General features: G+C 42.8%; 1 protein-coding gene and 1 long non-coding RNA gene across 14 annotated transcripts in view, besides 4 other annotated features; both read right to left on the reverse strand.

Annotated features, from left to right (window-relative positions):
* FBXW4 (F-box and WD repeat domain containing 4) overlaps positions 1-2625 on the reverse strand; it is an 84630-nt gene extending 82005 nt beyond the window's left edge. For 2 of the 3 annotated variants that reach the window (NR_136613.2, NM_022039.4), the window contains exon 1: positions 1711-2500. Coding sequence is in view for 1 of the 3 variants with exons in the window: in NM_022039.4 (NP_071322.2) it covers positions 1711-2435 (725 nt within the window). In the remaining 2 variants the exon portion in view is untranslated. Of the gene's footprint in view, positions 1-1710; positions 2501-2569 lie in introns of those variants that run through there. The other variant, NM_001323541.2, reaches the window with a different exon arrangement.
* Positions 1180-1259: an enhancer, noted in NCBI's record as "active region_3915". NCBI's record gives its function as "activates an Ori minimal core promoter by ATAC-STARR-seq in GM12878 lymphoblastoid cells {active_cell/tissue: GM12878}" and the evidence as "EXISTENCE:reporter gene assay evidence [ECO:0000049][PMID:35858748]".
* Positions 1570-2029: a silencer, noted in NCBI's record as "silent region_2723". NCBI's record gives its function as "represses an Ori minimal core promoter by ATAC-STARR-seq in GM12878 lymphoblastoid cells {active_cell/tissue: GM12878}" and the evidence as "EXISTENCE:reporter gene assay evidence [ECO:0000049][PMID:35858748]".
* Positions 2310-2359: a silencer, noted in NCBI's record as "silent region_2724". NCBI's record gives its function as "represses an Ori minimal core promoter by ATAC-STARR-seq in GM12878 lymphoblastoid cells {active_cell/tissue: GM12878}" and the evidence as "EXISTENCE:reporter gene assay evidence [ECO:0000049][PMID:35858748]".
* Positions 2390-2669: a silencer, noted in NCBI's record as "silent region_2725". NCBI's record gives its function as "represses an Ori minimal core promoter by ATAC-STARR-seq in GM12878 lymphoblastoid cells {active_cell/tissue: GM12878}" and the evidence as "EXISTENCE:reporter gene assay evidence [ECO:0000049][PMID:35858748]".
* The window catches only part of LINC03046 (long intergenic non-protein coding RNA 3046), a 28166-nt gene continuing 21531 nt past the window's right edge, over positions 9307-15941 (reverse strand). For 3 of the 11 annotated variants that reach the window (NR_186554.1, NR_186555.1, NR_186552.1), the window contains one exon: positions 9307-9625. This is a non-coding gene — a long non-coding RNA (long intergenic non-protein coding RNA 3046). Of the gene's footprint in view, positions 9626-11782; positions 12036-15494; positions 15732-15941 lie in introns of all 11 variants that reach the window. The other 8 variants (NR_186550.1, NR_186548.1, NR_186551.1 and 5 more) reach the window with 4 other exon arrangements.

The raw sequence follows: 15941 nt of genomic DNA on the forward strand, positions 1-15941 counted from the left end.
CTTGAACCCAGGAGGTGGTGAGCCGAGTGCACACCACTGCACTCCAGCCCGGGCAACAAGAGTGAAACTCCGTCTCAAAAAAAAAAAAAAAAAAAAAATCAAATTTGTAAGAAAACCAGTGGGAAACAGATTTATCAGGTCTGTGGAGGAATTATAAATTTCTCAGCTTTGGGGAGAAAAAGAGAAAAAAATCACAAAAGACTGGCAGAGCCTAATAAAGTGTAAAACAGTAAAGTAAAATGAATTGACTGGGAAAAATATCTGGATCAAAGATGACAGACTAGATTCTAACATCTAAGACCCACAAAGATTCCAAATTTATAGGAAAAACAAGAAGACCCCAGTAATAAATGGGCAAAGAGTGGGAAGAGACAGTCTCCCAGGTGAAACAAACACATGGGAATATATTTATCCCAGCCAGTGGTAAAAGAGATGCAAAATAACACAACTTTGGTACCTTAAATGACCACTAAAGTGGCAAAGATTTTCTAAATTCTCACATAAAATTTGTTCACTCTGTGCTGGTCCCACTATAATTTGGTACAGCACCTCTGCAAACCATAACCTTTGCTATAATGCCACCTTGAGACTTTATCCTAAGGAACTGATTTTTAAAAAATATGTATGGTAATGACATGTGACTTATATTTCAGTAAAGCTGTTACTCAAAAATGCATTATTTCATTATTATCTATAATAACAAAAAGCTGAACACTACATGTAAGTTTAATAGTAGAGGGATGTTCTTTAATCTCATTATGCGACAGCCCACAAACATTTACTATGTACCTATTCTGTTAGGATCAGTAAGATAGCAATTATATGTGCAACTGAAAAGGTTTTTAAATGAAAATAATTGTCTAGAGGTGATGGTATTATGGCTTTTTATGTTTTTAAAAACGTTATTTAATGTTGTCATAATGTACTAGAAAGAACTACTTTTTAAAAAATGGGTGGAATAGGGGGCAATCTGAAAGCTCTTATTCCCCCAATTCCCTACATGTTTTTTCCTTCCTATTTAACAGTTTAAGTGGTTCAGAAAAGTTTTTCATTCACAGGTCTCAGACCCTACCAAAAACAGGCCAAATTGCAATACCATGTCTTGTACACATCCTGGACAGACTCCAGCCTCCTGCCTCAAGCAGGCCCCCTTTTTCGTGTCGCTCTGCCTATATGAAGTCATAAACTATGGCTGAACACTGGGACCGAGGGCTTCTCTTAAGGTCCGAGCCCTGAAGCTTAACAACCTTTAGAAAAGGGTAGGGAGGATGAAAGATGAAAGTCCACAAAAATTTATGATAGACCACTTAAGGAACCTGAGTCCTAGACCTGGACTCAAGGAATCGTCCAAAGCACCGTACCAGACTGGCTCCTCTGGGGCGAAGGAACCGGGGCAGCTAAACCTCTGCAAAAACACACAATCGAAAGCTGTAGGGAGTGCCTAAGATGGCTAATTGTGAGGAGCGGCCCACCCGGGAGGGTGCCTACTGAGGGATGCTCTCGGGAGGCTGCCTCAGATGGAGGCCTTGGGGAGGAGGGGCAAAGGGGTCCCCGAGAGTGCTCGGGAAAGGGTGTAGGCGGAGGTCAGGTGTAGGCCTAGAAACTCGGGGTGCGACACGACCCTGGGCCGACCAGGCCGCGGCGCCCCGCCCTTTCCCGGGACGCGGGGCCGGCTCGGGGCGGGGAGCGGGCGGGCGAGCGGACGCTTACAGGTCGGTGCCGAGCCGCGTGAAGCCGGAGTTGAGCGAGGCCCGGGCTATCCGGCGCCAGAGCAGATCGCAGCTGGTGAAGCGCCGCAGCCAGCGGCACACCTGGGCCAGGCGGCCGAGGGCCCGCATGTCCAGGTAGGAGCAGATGAGCAGCAGCAGCTCCTCCGGCAGGCGCCAGAGCGCAGGCCCCGCGGCCGGGCGGGCAGCCGACTCCCGAGCCGCCTCCTCCTCCTCCTCCTCCTCCCCGGCCGCCGCCGCCATGGCCACCCCTGTCCCCGCGATGTCGGCCCAAGCCTGACCCCCTCGTCCCTGTGCTCTTCCCGGCCTGGCGCCCTCCCGCCGCCTAGCCCTGACCCTCCATTCCTCCTTCTTCCCATACTCTCTTCCTTGTGCCTCCTTCCCGGCCCCTGCGCTCCCCTCGACTCCCTTGACGATGCCTCTCGCCCCTTCCTCCACGCTTCTGCCTCCCTCTGCTTCCTCCCTTGGGCATGCCCTCGCTCCCGCGTCAGCCCCCGGCCCGGCTGCCTCCTTCGCCGTCTGCGGCCCGGGCTTCCCTTCCGCCCCGCTTCCTCTTCCGCCTTGCCCCGCTCTCGCTTTTCCCTTCCCCTTCCCCTTCCTTCGCTTCCCCCTCGCCACCCTCCCTTCCTGCAGCTTCCTCGCCTCTCCGCCCTCGCCCTCGCCGGGCCCGCCGTTCCCGGGGGGCCCCGAGCGGCCCTGGCTGCCCATGAGCGGCCGCGGGGCCGGCCCGACGCGGAGCCCAGCCCGAGCCGCCACCGCCGCCGCCCCGGGAGGAGGCGACACCATGTCGGACCGGGTCACATGGGGCGGCGCGGGCCGAGCCCTGGGCACGCCCCTCACACCTGCAGCCTTGGAGCCACTTCGGGGTGCGGGCTGGGGCCGGGGCGCTGACACCACCCCCGCATCCCCGAGAGCGCTTGGTGGAAGCACAGGAGTTCGCGCTGCAAACACGTGAGGCCGGTTTCAGGGCCCTGCCTGAGGCCACAAGAGGACCCGCTGCCCTCAGGAAGCGGCCATTTGGAGCACCTGCCCTCAAGAAGCCCCTAGTTGGGTGGCCTTGCCCCTCTAGAAGCCCTCCTCTTCCTCGAGTGATGCCTCCTTTCCACGGGCCACATGTGAGGGCCCAACGAATCTGCAGCCCTAGAAGTTGACAGGTTCCATAGCTTAGGTTCTCACACAGGCCCGGAAGCACGGTCCTGGCGTGAGCTTGGGTGTTAGACGTATTTGGGGATTTGCAGTCTTCTAGATCCTGAGTCCATAACTTCAAAAACAGTCATGTATCAGGAAATGGCACAGCTAGGGCTTCTTATCAGTCACCACCCAAGTGCAAGTGGATTCTCCAAGGACTCAGCATCCATTCTTCATACCACCCATTCGATTCACATGGCATTAATCTGAAGGGAGAGCTACTGAGGTCTAGACCTGTGCTGTCCAACAGTGTCCTCCCTCGTCACATGTGGCTGCTGAGCATTTGAAATGTGGCTAATACAAATTGAAATGAGCTATAAGTGAGAAATGCACACCAGATTTTGAAGCCATACAAAAAAAAGAATGCAAAATATCTCATTAATAATTTTATATTGATTACGTGTTGAAGTGTTAATATTTTGGATACGCTGTATTGGGCTAAATACAATATATTTTAATGTAACTACTAGAAAATTTAAAATTATACATGGGACTTGCATTTGTGGCTCGGGTTATTTTTCTATTAGCATTGGGCTAGGCAGTAAAACTTGGAGGAGGGGAGGAAGATGCCAATTTCTGTCTGTTTATCCTGTACTCCAAATCCAGGTAGGAAGGATTGGAGAGTTTTCTTTTGTACTTATCTACATCTTAACACTCATTTTCAGGGAGCAGGGAAGAATAAAAATTGACCCTGAAAATTATTCAACACCTAGCATAGCCAAAGAGAAACCTAGGGAAGCAACTACATTGTATTATGGTGCTGCAAGAAGCATCATGTAACAAGGTCAGACCGGAATCTGGCTTTGCCCTAGAATTACTTTTTGATCTTAGCAAAACAACAACAAAAAGCCCCACCTATCTTGGCCTTTTAGTGTTCTCAATCTGTAGTGGAGATAATGCCTCTGCCTTACTTTCGAGGGATAAATGAGATGATCCCTGTAAAATGCTTTGAACTCCTCTAAGAAAATTCTTAATAATAGTTACAGGTCAAATCCTGTTACAAAAAAATGCCATCCCTCCCCCTCTCCAAATGCAACAAAGACTTTGTGTAGAAAACGATTTCCAAACTCAAGGCAGTGGTTTATTGAAAGCACTATTTTATAGATTTCAATGCGGCCAAAGAATTTAAGCCATGTTTTAGAGATCATTATAAAGAAATTTACTTATTCACAGGTACCATACTGTTAGAAGACTACTAAGGCAGGAATACTTCACATTTAGGTGATGTCATGAGTTCAATATTTATTGATTTTGCTACATTTGTGTACTATGAGCGAATCAAGAAGGAAGACAAATGATATAGCAGGAATATGGTTCCTGCATTTTGTGTTTAGATTTGTGTTAGAGATGTTTGTAATTTCTTACTGTTTGAGTACTTAACTCATTCAGGATACATAGTAAAGCTGAGTAGTTCATCTATATTCTATCTCATTTTTAGTGGAGGCACTAAAACTTCTTTAACCCAACATAAATCAGGATTAAAATCCATAATCATGCAAGTGTAATTTACTTTATTTTCATTAATGGAGAATTTTTTTTTGAGACAGAGTCTGGCTCTGTCGCCCAGGCTGGAGTGCAGTGGCGCAATCTCGGCTCACTGCAAGCTCCACCACCCGGGTTCACGCCATTCTCCTGCCTCAGCCTCCCGAGTAGCTGGGACTACAGGCGCCCGCCACTATGCCCGGCTAATTGTTTTGTATTTTTAGTAGAGACGGGGTTTCACAGTGTTAGCCAGGATGGCCTCGATCTCCTGACCTCGTGATCCGCCTGTCTCGGCCTCCCAAAGTGCTGGGATTACAGGCATGAGCCACCTTGCCCGGCCTTTTTCTTTTTTTTTTTTTTTTGAGACGAAGTCTCACTCTGTTGCCCAGGCTGGAGTGCAGTGGCGCGATCTCGGCTCACTGCAAGCTCCGCCTTCCGGGTTCACGCCATTCTCCTGCCTCAGCCTCCCGAGTAGCTGGGACTACAGGCACCCGCCACCACGCCCAGCTAATTTTTTGTATTTTTAGTAGAGACGGGGTTTCACCATGTTAGCCAGGATGGTCTCGATCTCCTGACCTCGTGATCCGCCCGCCTCAGCCTCCCAAAGTGCTGGGATTACAGGAGTGAGCCACTGCCCCCGGCCCTCATTAATGGAGAAATTAAAGCATCATTTAGCGGTCATCATTAAAGCGGCCGGGCGCATCATTAAAGCGGCCGGGCGCGGTGGCTCACGCCTGTAATCCTAGCACTTTGGGAGGCCGAGGCGGGCAGATTGCCTGAGCTCAGGAGTTCAAAACCAGCCTGGACAACACTGTGAAAACCCGTCTCTACTAAAAAATACAAAAAAATTAGCCGGGCGTGGCGACAGGCGCCAGCTACTGGGAAGGCTGAGGAAGGAGAATTGCTTGAACTCGGGAGGCGGAGCTTGCAGTGAACCGAGATCGCGCTACTGCACTCCAGCCTGGGTGAGAGAAAAAAAAAAAAAAAACATCAAATCATCCTCTTTCACATTCAAACTAGAGATCAGGTAAACTCTTAGCCTAGAATTTGTAATGTAATGATTTCCAAAAAAGTCAACATACTCACTATGCAGGAAAAAAAGCAAAGCCAAAATGGAAAATTGGCATATAATCTGTTATTTGGTGGTGATGTGTGTCCCTAAATTACCAAACATGTGATAAAGAAAACAACAAAGAAGAAAACCTTTAGCCTTAGCTCAGAGAAGCAGCTAGAATATTTCATCAACTCTCCCTTTCCCTGCCAACAAAGAAAAATCCAATTTGGGATGTAACCAAACTTAAAAATTGTATCATAAAATTTACTTTTAAAATTCTTTTTTGGGATAGAGTGTCAAAAATAAAAAAGCAACTGAAAAGATGTGGCTGAAAAGATGAGTTTGTAATAAAAGTAAATGCATGTCTTCATGAAGGACCTGAATAGCATTTTTCTATCAAAGAAAATAAATATATTAATACTCAGAAAAGAGGAAGGTAGAAAGACTTTGGTGGACTTGACCATCTTTTTTTTTTTGAGGCAGAGTCTCACTCTGTTGCCCAGGCTGTAGTGCAATGGCGAGATCTCGGCTCACTGAAACCTCCGCCTCCTGGGTTCAAGTGATTCTCCTGCCTCAGCTTCCTGTGTAGCTGGGATTACAGGCACCTGCCACCACGACCAGCTAATTTTTGTATTTTTAGTACAGACGAGGTTTCACCATGCTGGCCAGGCTGGTCTTGAACTACCAATCTCAGACCATCCACCCGCCTTGGCCTCTGAAAGTGCTGGGATTACAGGCATGAACCACCCCGCCCGGCCCAGAACATCTTTAAGTAAAAGTCATCAACTCCCTTGAAGTTCAGATTCAGGAATCATCATGAAATAAGGCAGGGAGGTGAAATCTACCTTTGTTTTCATAAAGCTTTTTTATTTAAAAAATTAATTTATAGATTAATAAACTGAAAACAGTGGACACAATATTGGCTGGGTGTGGTGGCTCATGCCTGTAATCCCAGCACTTTGGGAGACCGAGGCAGGCAGATCACCTGAGGTCAGGCTTGTCTGCCTGGCCAACATGGTGAAACCCTGTCTCTACTAAAAGTACAAAATTAGCCAGGCGTGGTGCCGCACACCTGTAGTCCCAGCTACTAAGGAGGCTGAGGCCAGAGAATCATTTAAACCTAGGAGGCGGAGGTTGCAGTGAGCTGAGATTGCACCACTTCACATCAGCCTGAGTGACAGAGCGAGATTCCATCTCAAAAACGAACAAACAAAAAAAAAAACTTAAGACATAATATAAATTTCATAATTTTGTGGGTATTTAGAAACACTAACATTAATTTACCTTTTTTTTTTTTTTAGACAGCGTCTCACTCTGTCACCTAGGCTGGAGTGCAGTAGCATGATCTTGGCTCACTGCAGCCTTGACCTCCTGGGCTCAAGCAATCCTCCCATTTCAGCCCCAGAGCAGCTGGGCCTACAGGTGCCTGGCTAATTTTTTTATTTCATTGACAAGGTCTCACCATGTTACCCAGGCTAATAGTTTACTTTTAAAGAGGATTTTAAAGCAGAGATATAAAGTTCTTTATGTTAGTGTGTACATGTAAGTGACATGCATGATGGTGATTGTTGCTGTTATTGGTAGCACATAGTATATGTTTAGGATTGTAAAAAGGCTAGAATTTTGTATTCTGGTCATTCTTATAAACAGATGACAGAATCACCTATTCACACATTCATTACATTGGTGCCCACATACTCATTGGTTATACCCTCAGGGCCCCTCAGGAGCTGGTAGATTTAACAGGAAAATTATTCTGAGATGAATGAGAGACAAAGAGATTATTTTGTGAGTGACAGATTTCAATATCATACGTGGGCCCAGATGCTCACCATTATTCCTCTATAATAGCATTGGCTTACATTTACTATAAGCACTTACTACATGCCAGCCACTATTAGAAGAGTTTTCCAGCCAGCCACGGTGGCTCACACCTGTAATCCTGGCACTTTGGAAGCCTGAGGTAGGAGGATTGTTTTTGAGCCCAGGAGTTCAAGACCAGCCTCCAGGAGTTCAAGACCAGCCTGGGCAACACTGGAAGATCCTGTCTCTACAAAAGAATTTTAAAAAATTAGCCGGGCTTGGTGACACACATCTGTGGTCCCAGCTACTTCGGAGGCTGAAGTGGGAGGACCAGTTGAGCCTGGGAGGTCAAGGCTGCAGTGAGCCATGATCACACCAAGGCACTCCAGCATGGGCAACAGAGCAAGACCCTGTCTCAAAAAAAAAAAAAAAAAAAAGTTAATTATGTAGACTTTCAAACTCTTAATGCTTTTCATAATCTTTTTTCAAAACTTCAAAGGGATTGTTAGGAACTAAAGTGTCTTGCAAAAGAACATTTAGCTAAAATTTGGTAATTCCTTCATTTTGTTTCAGCTTCATTTTCTTCAATTTCTTCATTTTGCTTCATCCTCATTTAGTAACTATGTATGGTATGTGTGAGCCTTTTGTGTAAATTTATCTCTCTGTGTATATATGCAAAGGGAAGGTTTGTGGAATAATGTTAATAATGGTTTTTTTAGGTGATAGAATTTTGGGATTTTACTTTGTACTTTTCTGTATTAATTTTTTAATAAGAAGCATGTACAAAATAAAGTCTTTAAAAAAATAAGAGTTGTCATGAGTCTATACACCATGCAAAAAGGAATTTGATGATTTGAAACCTAGATCATTGCCAGAGTTTTAACCAGCTACCCAAGTTTCCTCAAACCTTATTTAAATAAGGCTGGGTATGGTGACTCATCCCTGTAATCCCAGCACTTTGGGAGGCTGAGGCAGGAAGATTGCTTGAGCCCAGGAGTTCAAGACCAGCCTGGGCAACACAGCGAGACCCCCGTCTCTAAAAACTGTAAGAATAAATTAGGTAGGTGTGGTGGTGTATACCTGTAGTCCCAGCTACTCGTGAAGCTGAAGCTAGAGGATTACTTGAGCCCAAAAAGTTGAGGCTGCAGTGAGCCATGTTCATGCCACTGCACTCCAAACTGGGCAACAGAATGAGACCTTGTCTCAAAAAACACTAAAACTTTAAAAATTAAAATAAAATGTGTTTCATGTAATAGTAAAATAAACAACAAGTTAAAAGTCTTAGAAAGGAAAAGAAACAAGAAGTCTCACAGTGAATGCTGTATTTGTAAATATTCAAGCTTCTCAAAAATAGAGGAAGAGACTCTAAAATGTTATTTTCAGAAATTATCTATTGGGTTGGTAGTTTATATCTTGAAGTACCACCAAGATCTGCTCTGGTTTTATATGAATCCATCTTCTTTGCCATATTCAAAGATAAAATATTTTTACCACCTATGAAATAATTTCAAGCAAGTGCTATTTAAAAATAGTTATTTTGGCCAGGCGCGATGGCTCATGCCTGTAATCCCAGCACTTTGGGAGGCCGAGGCGGGTGGATCACAAGGTCAAGAGATCAAGACCATCCTGGCCAACATGGTGAAACCCCGTCTCTACTAAAAATACAAAAATTAGCTGGGCATGGTGGTGCACGCCTGTAGTCCCAGCTACTCAGGAGGCTGAGGCAGGAGAATCCCTTGAACCTGGGAGGTGGAGGTTGTAGAGAACCGAGATTGTGCCACGGCACTCCAGCCTGGTGACAGAGTGAAACTCTGTCTCAAAAAAATAAATAAATAGAAATAAAAATAGTTATTTTATGCAGAAGAAAAAAAACTGGAAGGAAATATGACAAAAAGCTAGAAATGGTTGCTTGTGACAGATGGAATTATGGGTAGTTCTATTTGCTGCTGCTTTATACTTTTCTTGCATTTTTAAAGTCTTGTGCAGTGAGTATGTATTACATAGATAATCATTTTTTAAAAGAAAAAAACCTCAGAGGTATTTACACCTAAATGTAAGAAAGAACTTAATTAAGCTAGTTCATTTTAATATTTTTAAGGAAGGGCTGCATATAGTGACTTTCTTTCAAAGAGTACAATATGGAAAAGGGGGATGGGGAGAGCAACTCGACAGTGGAGAAGCCTGACAAGAACTACCTCAGCCAGGTGATCAAGGTCAGCACCACTAGTCATAAGTCATATTGATAGTAGGTCTTGGTACAATCTGATGAAAATGGCAAGTTCATTAAAACTGGGAAAGCTGAGAAACTGTCACAGCCAAGAAGAGCCACAGGAGACATGATGACTAAAGGTAATGTATTCTGGATGGGATCCTGGAACAGAAAAGAAAAAGGACATTAGATAAAAACTAAGGAAATTGGATCGGTTTGTTAATAATAACAATCATAATATTGTAAAATGTGATAATAGGGGTCTATGGAAACGCTCTACTATCTTCACAATATTTCTGTAAATCTAAAACTGTTCTAAAAAAGTTTTTTAAAGTTTCATCTTAGAATGGGCGTGGTGGCTCATACCTGTAATCCCAGCACGTTGTGGGGCTGAGGAGGGCATATCACTTGAGGTCAGGAGTTCAAAACCACCCTGGCCAACATGGTGAAACCCCATCTCTACAAAAAATACAAAAATTAGCCAGGTGTGGTAGTGGGCACCTGTAATCCCAGCTACTCAGGAGGCTGAGGCTGGAGGATTACTGGAGCCCAGGAGTTGGAGGTTACATGAGCTATGATCCCGCCACTATGCTCCAGCCTGGACAACAGCTGTAAGATGTTTTCCAAAGGGTCACATAACATCATTCCAAGACACTGTCCTAATTTTATAACTGAGAAAAACAGACATTTCCCATCACTAATTTTTATATAAATTATATATGTGTATGCATTTAAATATATGGTATGTAAATGTATAGCTATGTCTACAAAAGTTAAGGACCATATGTCTATAATGAACAGTAGAGTAAGTAAGGAGGTGGGCAGGTGGGCAGGATAGAAATATACAATGTAATTTTTCTGGGGGGAAAAAAAACAGATCTCCAGGGGTTTTGCCAGTTAGTAATGCTGTTATTAGTAGGCAATGGCCTTCTTTGTGTCAACAGTGTACATTCCAAGAGATTTTGAATAAAATATAGAGCATACCATCAGCATTCAGATCTAAGATTAAATTCTTGTATTGCCATTGCCATGTGACATCAGATTTTGTGATTTTTCTAAGCCGGGCGTGGTGACTCACACCTGTAATCCAAGCACTTTGGGAGGCCAAGGCAGGCAGATCACTTGAGGTCAGGAGTTTGAGACCAGCCTGGCCAACATGGTGAAACCCCGTCTCTACTAAAAATATAAAAATTATCTGGGCATGGTGATAGGCGCCTGTAATTCCAGCTACTCAGGAGGCTGAGGCAGGAGAATCGCTTGACCCTTGGGAGGTGGAGGTTGCAGTGAGTTGAGATCATGCCACTGCACTCCAGCCTGGGAGACAGACCTTCTCCAAAAAAAAAAAAAAAAAAAAAGGTTTTGTGATTTTTCTGGTCTCTGCCAGTCAGAAGACTGAGTCATTTGGTAACAGATGATAGAAGATAAAAAAAAACTTGAAGATGAAGGGAACCACAAAACCTTGTGAAATTTTCATGATCACTGGGGATTTCTTACCTTGCCTTCAGATTCTAGGTTCTTTTTAAAAGTATAAGTAAATAATCAGTCACCACTAAGATAGAATATGTACAAATATGACCTTATGAGTTCTTTTCCAAGAAAATAATGAGAATTAAGTTCTAGAAAAAATTTGCTCCCAAGCATCTTTAGTTTTTCTGGAAGAAAGTGCCAGGTTAAATACAAAATTCTTATTTCTGATTCTATTGTTATTACTACTATTTAACAATGCCAAAGTTTAAGTAAATTTTTTTCATTTGAGACATTTATTACACTGAATGAAACCACAGGATATCATTTATTTATATTGTCCTAGGTTTCAAGTCCTGTTAAAAATGTGGAAAAAAATGTGAAAAACACACAGGACAACTTTTCTGGAGTATCATTCATACAGTATCTTCAACAGATGGTGGATTGTGTTAAGTTGTTAAATATAAACACAAGTTTTAATGTGAATGGAATAAGAATAGATCTTAATTTTTTTGTTTTTTACTTTAGTAAAAAATGTATACACACATACTCAAAAACAACACACACACACATATGTATATATATATATATAAAATACACACACACCCACCCACCAAGTAAAGAGCAATTATAGTCTTTGGACCAAAATTTAACTGTTATCCTTTGAGAAACTATGTCACTGCTTCTAAAAATATGTACTATAAAATGTGCCTTTTCCCCTTTCTTATAGCAGCTGTTTGAAATACAAATAGATGAATGAGGAAAATCCCCTATGTTTAAAATCCACCATGAAGAGAAAAGCAGGAAGAAGTTCAAGCTAGCCCCTGGGGATTTTCCCAGGTTCAGTAGATTGACCTGGAAACAAGGAGTGCAGCTTGAGCTCTTCTTCCTTTAGCAGAACAAGCACTGGTCAGAGAAATTTCCAAACACATGGAGCTTAGCGAGACCACCTGCTCCTAACACAGGACAATGGCCACTGGACCACCAACTCTGTTGCTTCAAGTCAACACCAGCTCTCCTTCACAACAGATGACAGGCTTTCCGCTAGAAGAGTTTCCCAGTAAAAGAGTGAGCAAAGAAATGCTAAACTTCACATCTGCAATAGAAGCTGATAAATGAGAAGTGAAATGGACAAATTAAAAAGCTGAAACTGAATTCAGTCTTATAGTAGAATCAAACAATAATTACATCGATATCAGCCCTGGCAAGACAGAGCTAAGAGCTCAAATTATCTCTTGGCAAGGGTGTGGGTCTGTAAATGCTATGCAGCAACTAATGAGTAGAGAGGAATTTTTGACCAGGTGCTCATGCATTCCCTACACTGCACCAAGCTCAGCAGATATGTGGCACAACCCAGCACCTTTATAATCTCTCAAGATCTCCATCTCTGGCCGGGCTCGGTGACTCACACCTGTAACCCCAGCACTTTGGGAGGCCAAGGCGGGTGGATCACCTGAGGTCAGGGGTTCAAGACCAGCCTGACCAGCAAGGTGAAACCCCATCTCTACTAAAAATACAAAAATTAGGCCGGGTGCGGTAGCTTATGCCTGTAATCCCAGCACTTTAGGAGGTCGAGGTGGGTGGATCATGAGGTCAGGAGTTCGAGACCAGCCTGGCCAAGATGGTGAAACCCCATCTCTACTAAAAGATACAAAAATTAGCCAGGTGCGGTGGTGAGCGCCTGTAATCCCAGCTACTTGGGAGACTGAGGCAGGAGAATCGCTTGAACCAGGGAGGCGGAGTCTGCAGTGAGCTGAGATCACGCCACTGCACTCTAGCCTGGGCGACAGAGTAAGACTCCATCTCAAAAATAAACAAAAATCAAAAATTAGCTGGGCATGGTGGCAGGCTCCTGTAGTCCCAGCTACTTGGAAGGCTGAGACAGGAGAATTGCTTAAACCCGGAAGGCGGAGGTTGCAGTGAGTCTACATCACACCACTGTACTCCAGCCTGGGCAATGGAACGAGACTAAATCTCAAAAAACAAACAAACAAACAAACAAAAGAAACCTCCATCTCTTGGACCATACAACAATAGGAGAGGAACCACAATGGTCAGACCCAATAGCTTGCTTAACTCCTGTAAAAGAATTGAGGTCAACCAGATGTTGCAATTTTTCTGATTTGAGTCTTTAGTCACGTATGAGATAGCATGTTGGAGTTTAATTAAAGATGTGTAAAGTAATAATATTTAATGATATTTTGCAGGGGTAAGAGAATTAAAGTTAATATCAGCTATTAGAAGAAAGTTATTGATGCTATGTGTGTCTTATGTTAGCCCACATAAGAAATAAATGAACAACAGAATTTTAAGTGTTTAAGCAGTTATGTCATGACCCAATCTAAGTGGGATCTATGAGGAGACTGAGAAGAAGTAATTGAAAGTCTTGGGCTCCACATGGTGGCTCACATCTATAATCCCAGCCCTTTGAGAGGCCAAGGCGGGTGGATCACTTGAGCCCAGGAGTTCAAGACTAGCCCGGGCAACATGGCAAAACCCCATCTCTACTAAAAATACAAAAATTAGGCCGGGCACGGTAGCTCACACCTGTAATCCCAGCATTTTGGGAGGCCGAGGCAGGTAGATCACGAGGTCAAGAGATCAAGACCATCCTGACCAACATGGTGAAACCCAGTCTCTACTAAAAATACAAAAATCAGCTGGGCATGGTGGTGCACGCCTGTAGTCCCAGCTACTCGGGAGGCTGAGGCAGGAAAATCGCTTGAACCCAGGAAGTGGATTGCAGTGAGCCGAGATCGGGCCACTGCACTCCAGCCAGGTGACAGAGCGAGACTCTGTCTCAAAAAAAAAAAAAATTCAAACATTAGCTGGGCATGGTGGCCCAAGCCTGTAGTCCCAGCTACTTGGGAGGCTAAGGTAGGAGGATTGTCTGAGCCTGAGAGGCAGAAGTTACAGTGAGCAGAGATGGTGTCATTGCCCTCCAGCGTGGGTGACAGAGTGAGATCCTGTCTCAAAAAATAAAAATAAAAAAAAAGTCTTGGTATCATACAGCTTTCACAATGCTGGTTTTTAAAAACTATAAACCCACATCACTCTTGGCAATTTTTTGAAGTTTTAAAACATTTAGAAAATAAAATTTAAATTATTTTTCAGTAGTCTTCCATGTTATAAATAAAATCACATATTCAACAGTATCCAAGATAGAGTCATAGAAACAACCTGAGAAGGAACAAGACACTGACAGAGAATAGAAGTGTTGGGAACAAATGTCTCCCAAACTGTTTAAATAAATCATGGAATATCCGTAGAACAGAATAATAAGCAGCTGTGAAAAAAATGAGAAAGACTGTATGTATCACTAGAGAAGGATCTCTAATATACAGTAAGTGAAGAAAAAAACAAAATTCAGAACAGTGTGTATAATATATTGCCATTTGTGGAGGGGAAAACTGTATTTGTGTGCTTTGACTCATGTACACCAAATATCTCCATAAAGATACACAAAAACCTAGTACCAGTGTTTGCCTGTAAGGAGGGGAATTTGGGTGGATGGGAGACAGAATTTCTTGTCAATTGTATACTATTTTATGCCTTTTAAATGTTTATTAACTATTTGCATGTATTACCTATTGAAAAGCGTTTCATCTCTAAGGGGACTCTCCAAAAAGTGAAAGGGCATTTTTAGAGCATGTTTTGGGTAAATGGAAGAGTCCATAATGAAAGAAATTGCCCTTATTTTGCAATAGAGAGCTACAGTGCAGAAGGGAGAGTGGGGATTTGCAATGTGTTAACTGGGATATCTGAAGGTAGATCAAAATTAATACCCAGATTGTGAAAATAGGATAATTATTGACAGAAGGAAACAGAACAAAATTCATTCATTGCATTTAAGTAAGCAATGATATGTTAGGAAATGGACTAAACAGGAAGAAAATACTATAACTCAACCAAAAATTATAAAAAGAACAAAAAATTATGGAATAAAGCTTCAGCATGTTGTAACATCACAGTATAATGAATAAATAAATTTTCAAATGAACCCTATCATATGTACATATCAGTAAAAAAAATTTCAATTTCATAGAACCCTGACACACACGCAAACACATGCACACCCAAAACACATACACACACATACAGACACTATAAAAAGCCAATGAGAGCATTGAGATAATTCTGGACTTTTATGAGTATTTCTTTAATAACGGTCATTCTTTGCATTTTTACTGCCCTAAATTTACCTCTTTAAGTCACAGCAATGCTGATTGAGCTTTTTTCTTTTTTAGTTTTGTTTCTAACCAAATCTTTTGTACATTTCTGGAATTTAAGCCACCTCAGTTACCGCTTATCTATAACACCATTGCTTTGAGGGATTAAAGTAGGTTTATTGTAATACACTTAGATTAAGTTATCTAAGTTGAGAAGAATATCCTGTTTAAGTTGGGAAATCTTTTTATATTTTTATTTTTTATTTATTTTTTTTGATCTTGAGTTGTTTTGATTTCCCCTGAGAGCAGTAATCTTCAGCAAGTGATATTTCTAAAAACCCCCAAACACACCACAAAACATTCCAAGTGATTTTAACTCCTGAATGAGGTTGGGCTACCTGAGTGATTCTCTCTCTTCTCTTCTTTGGCAGAAAGGATTAGAAACCTCCACAGAACTTGCTCTCTATTAAAGTGGAGTGCTGTGCATTCATTGGCAAGAGGTGAATTGTTTTCAGATTACATGCGAAAGAGTGTGTGTGTGTTTCTTTCCCACATCAAAGACTTGGATGGAAGCAGTTCTGAGTATTGCCAGGGATGCAAGAATTGGTGCTAAAGTGATTAACAAAATTGCTTTTCTGCAAAAGAAGCACAAAACATTACCTAGGGATTAGAGGAGGAGAGGGCAAGATTAAAGGTGATGTTGAATTTTGGGTAGAATATCTTATCCATCTTTTTCAAATCATGCTTCAAGGATTCTGTGTCCCTCCTTAAGGAAACCTGAACAAATCAAAGTCTTGCTTTCTTCAGTTTTGTACACAGAGGCACTGACAAGGTAAAATTAAAAC

The sequence above is a fragment of the Homo sapiens genome, chromosome 10 (assembly GCF_000001405.40).
Source record: "Homo sapiens chromosome 10, GRCh38.p14 Primary Assembly".
Taxonomy (NCBI): domain Eukaryota; kingdom Metazoa; phylum Chordata; class Mammalia; order Primates; family Hominidae; genus Homo; species Homo sapiens.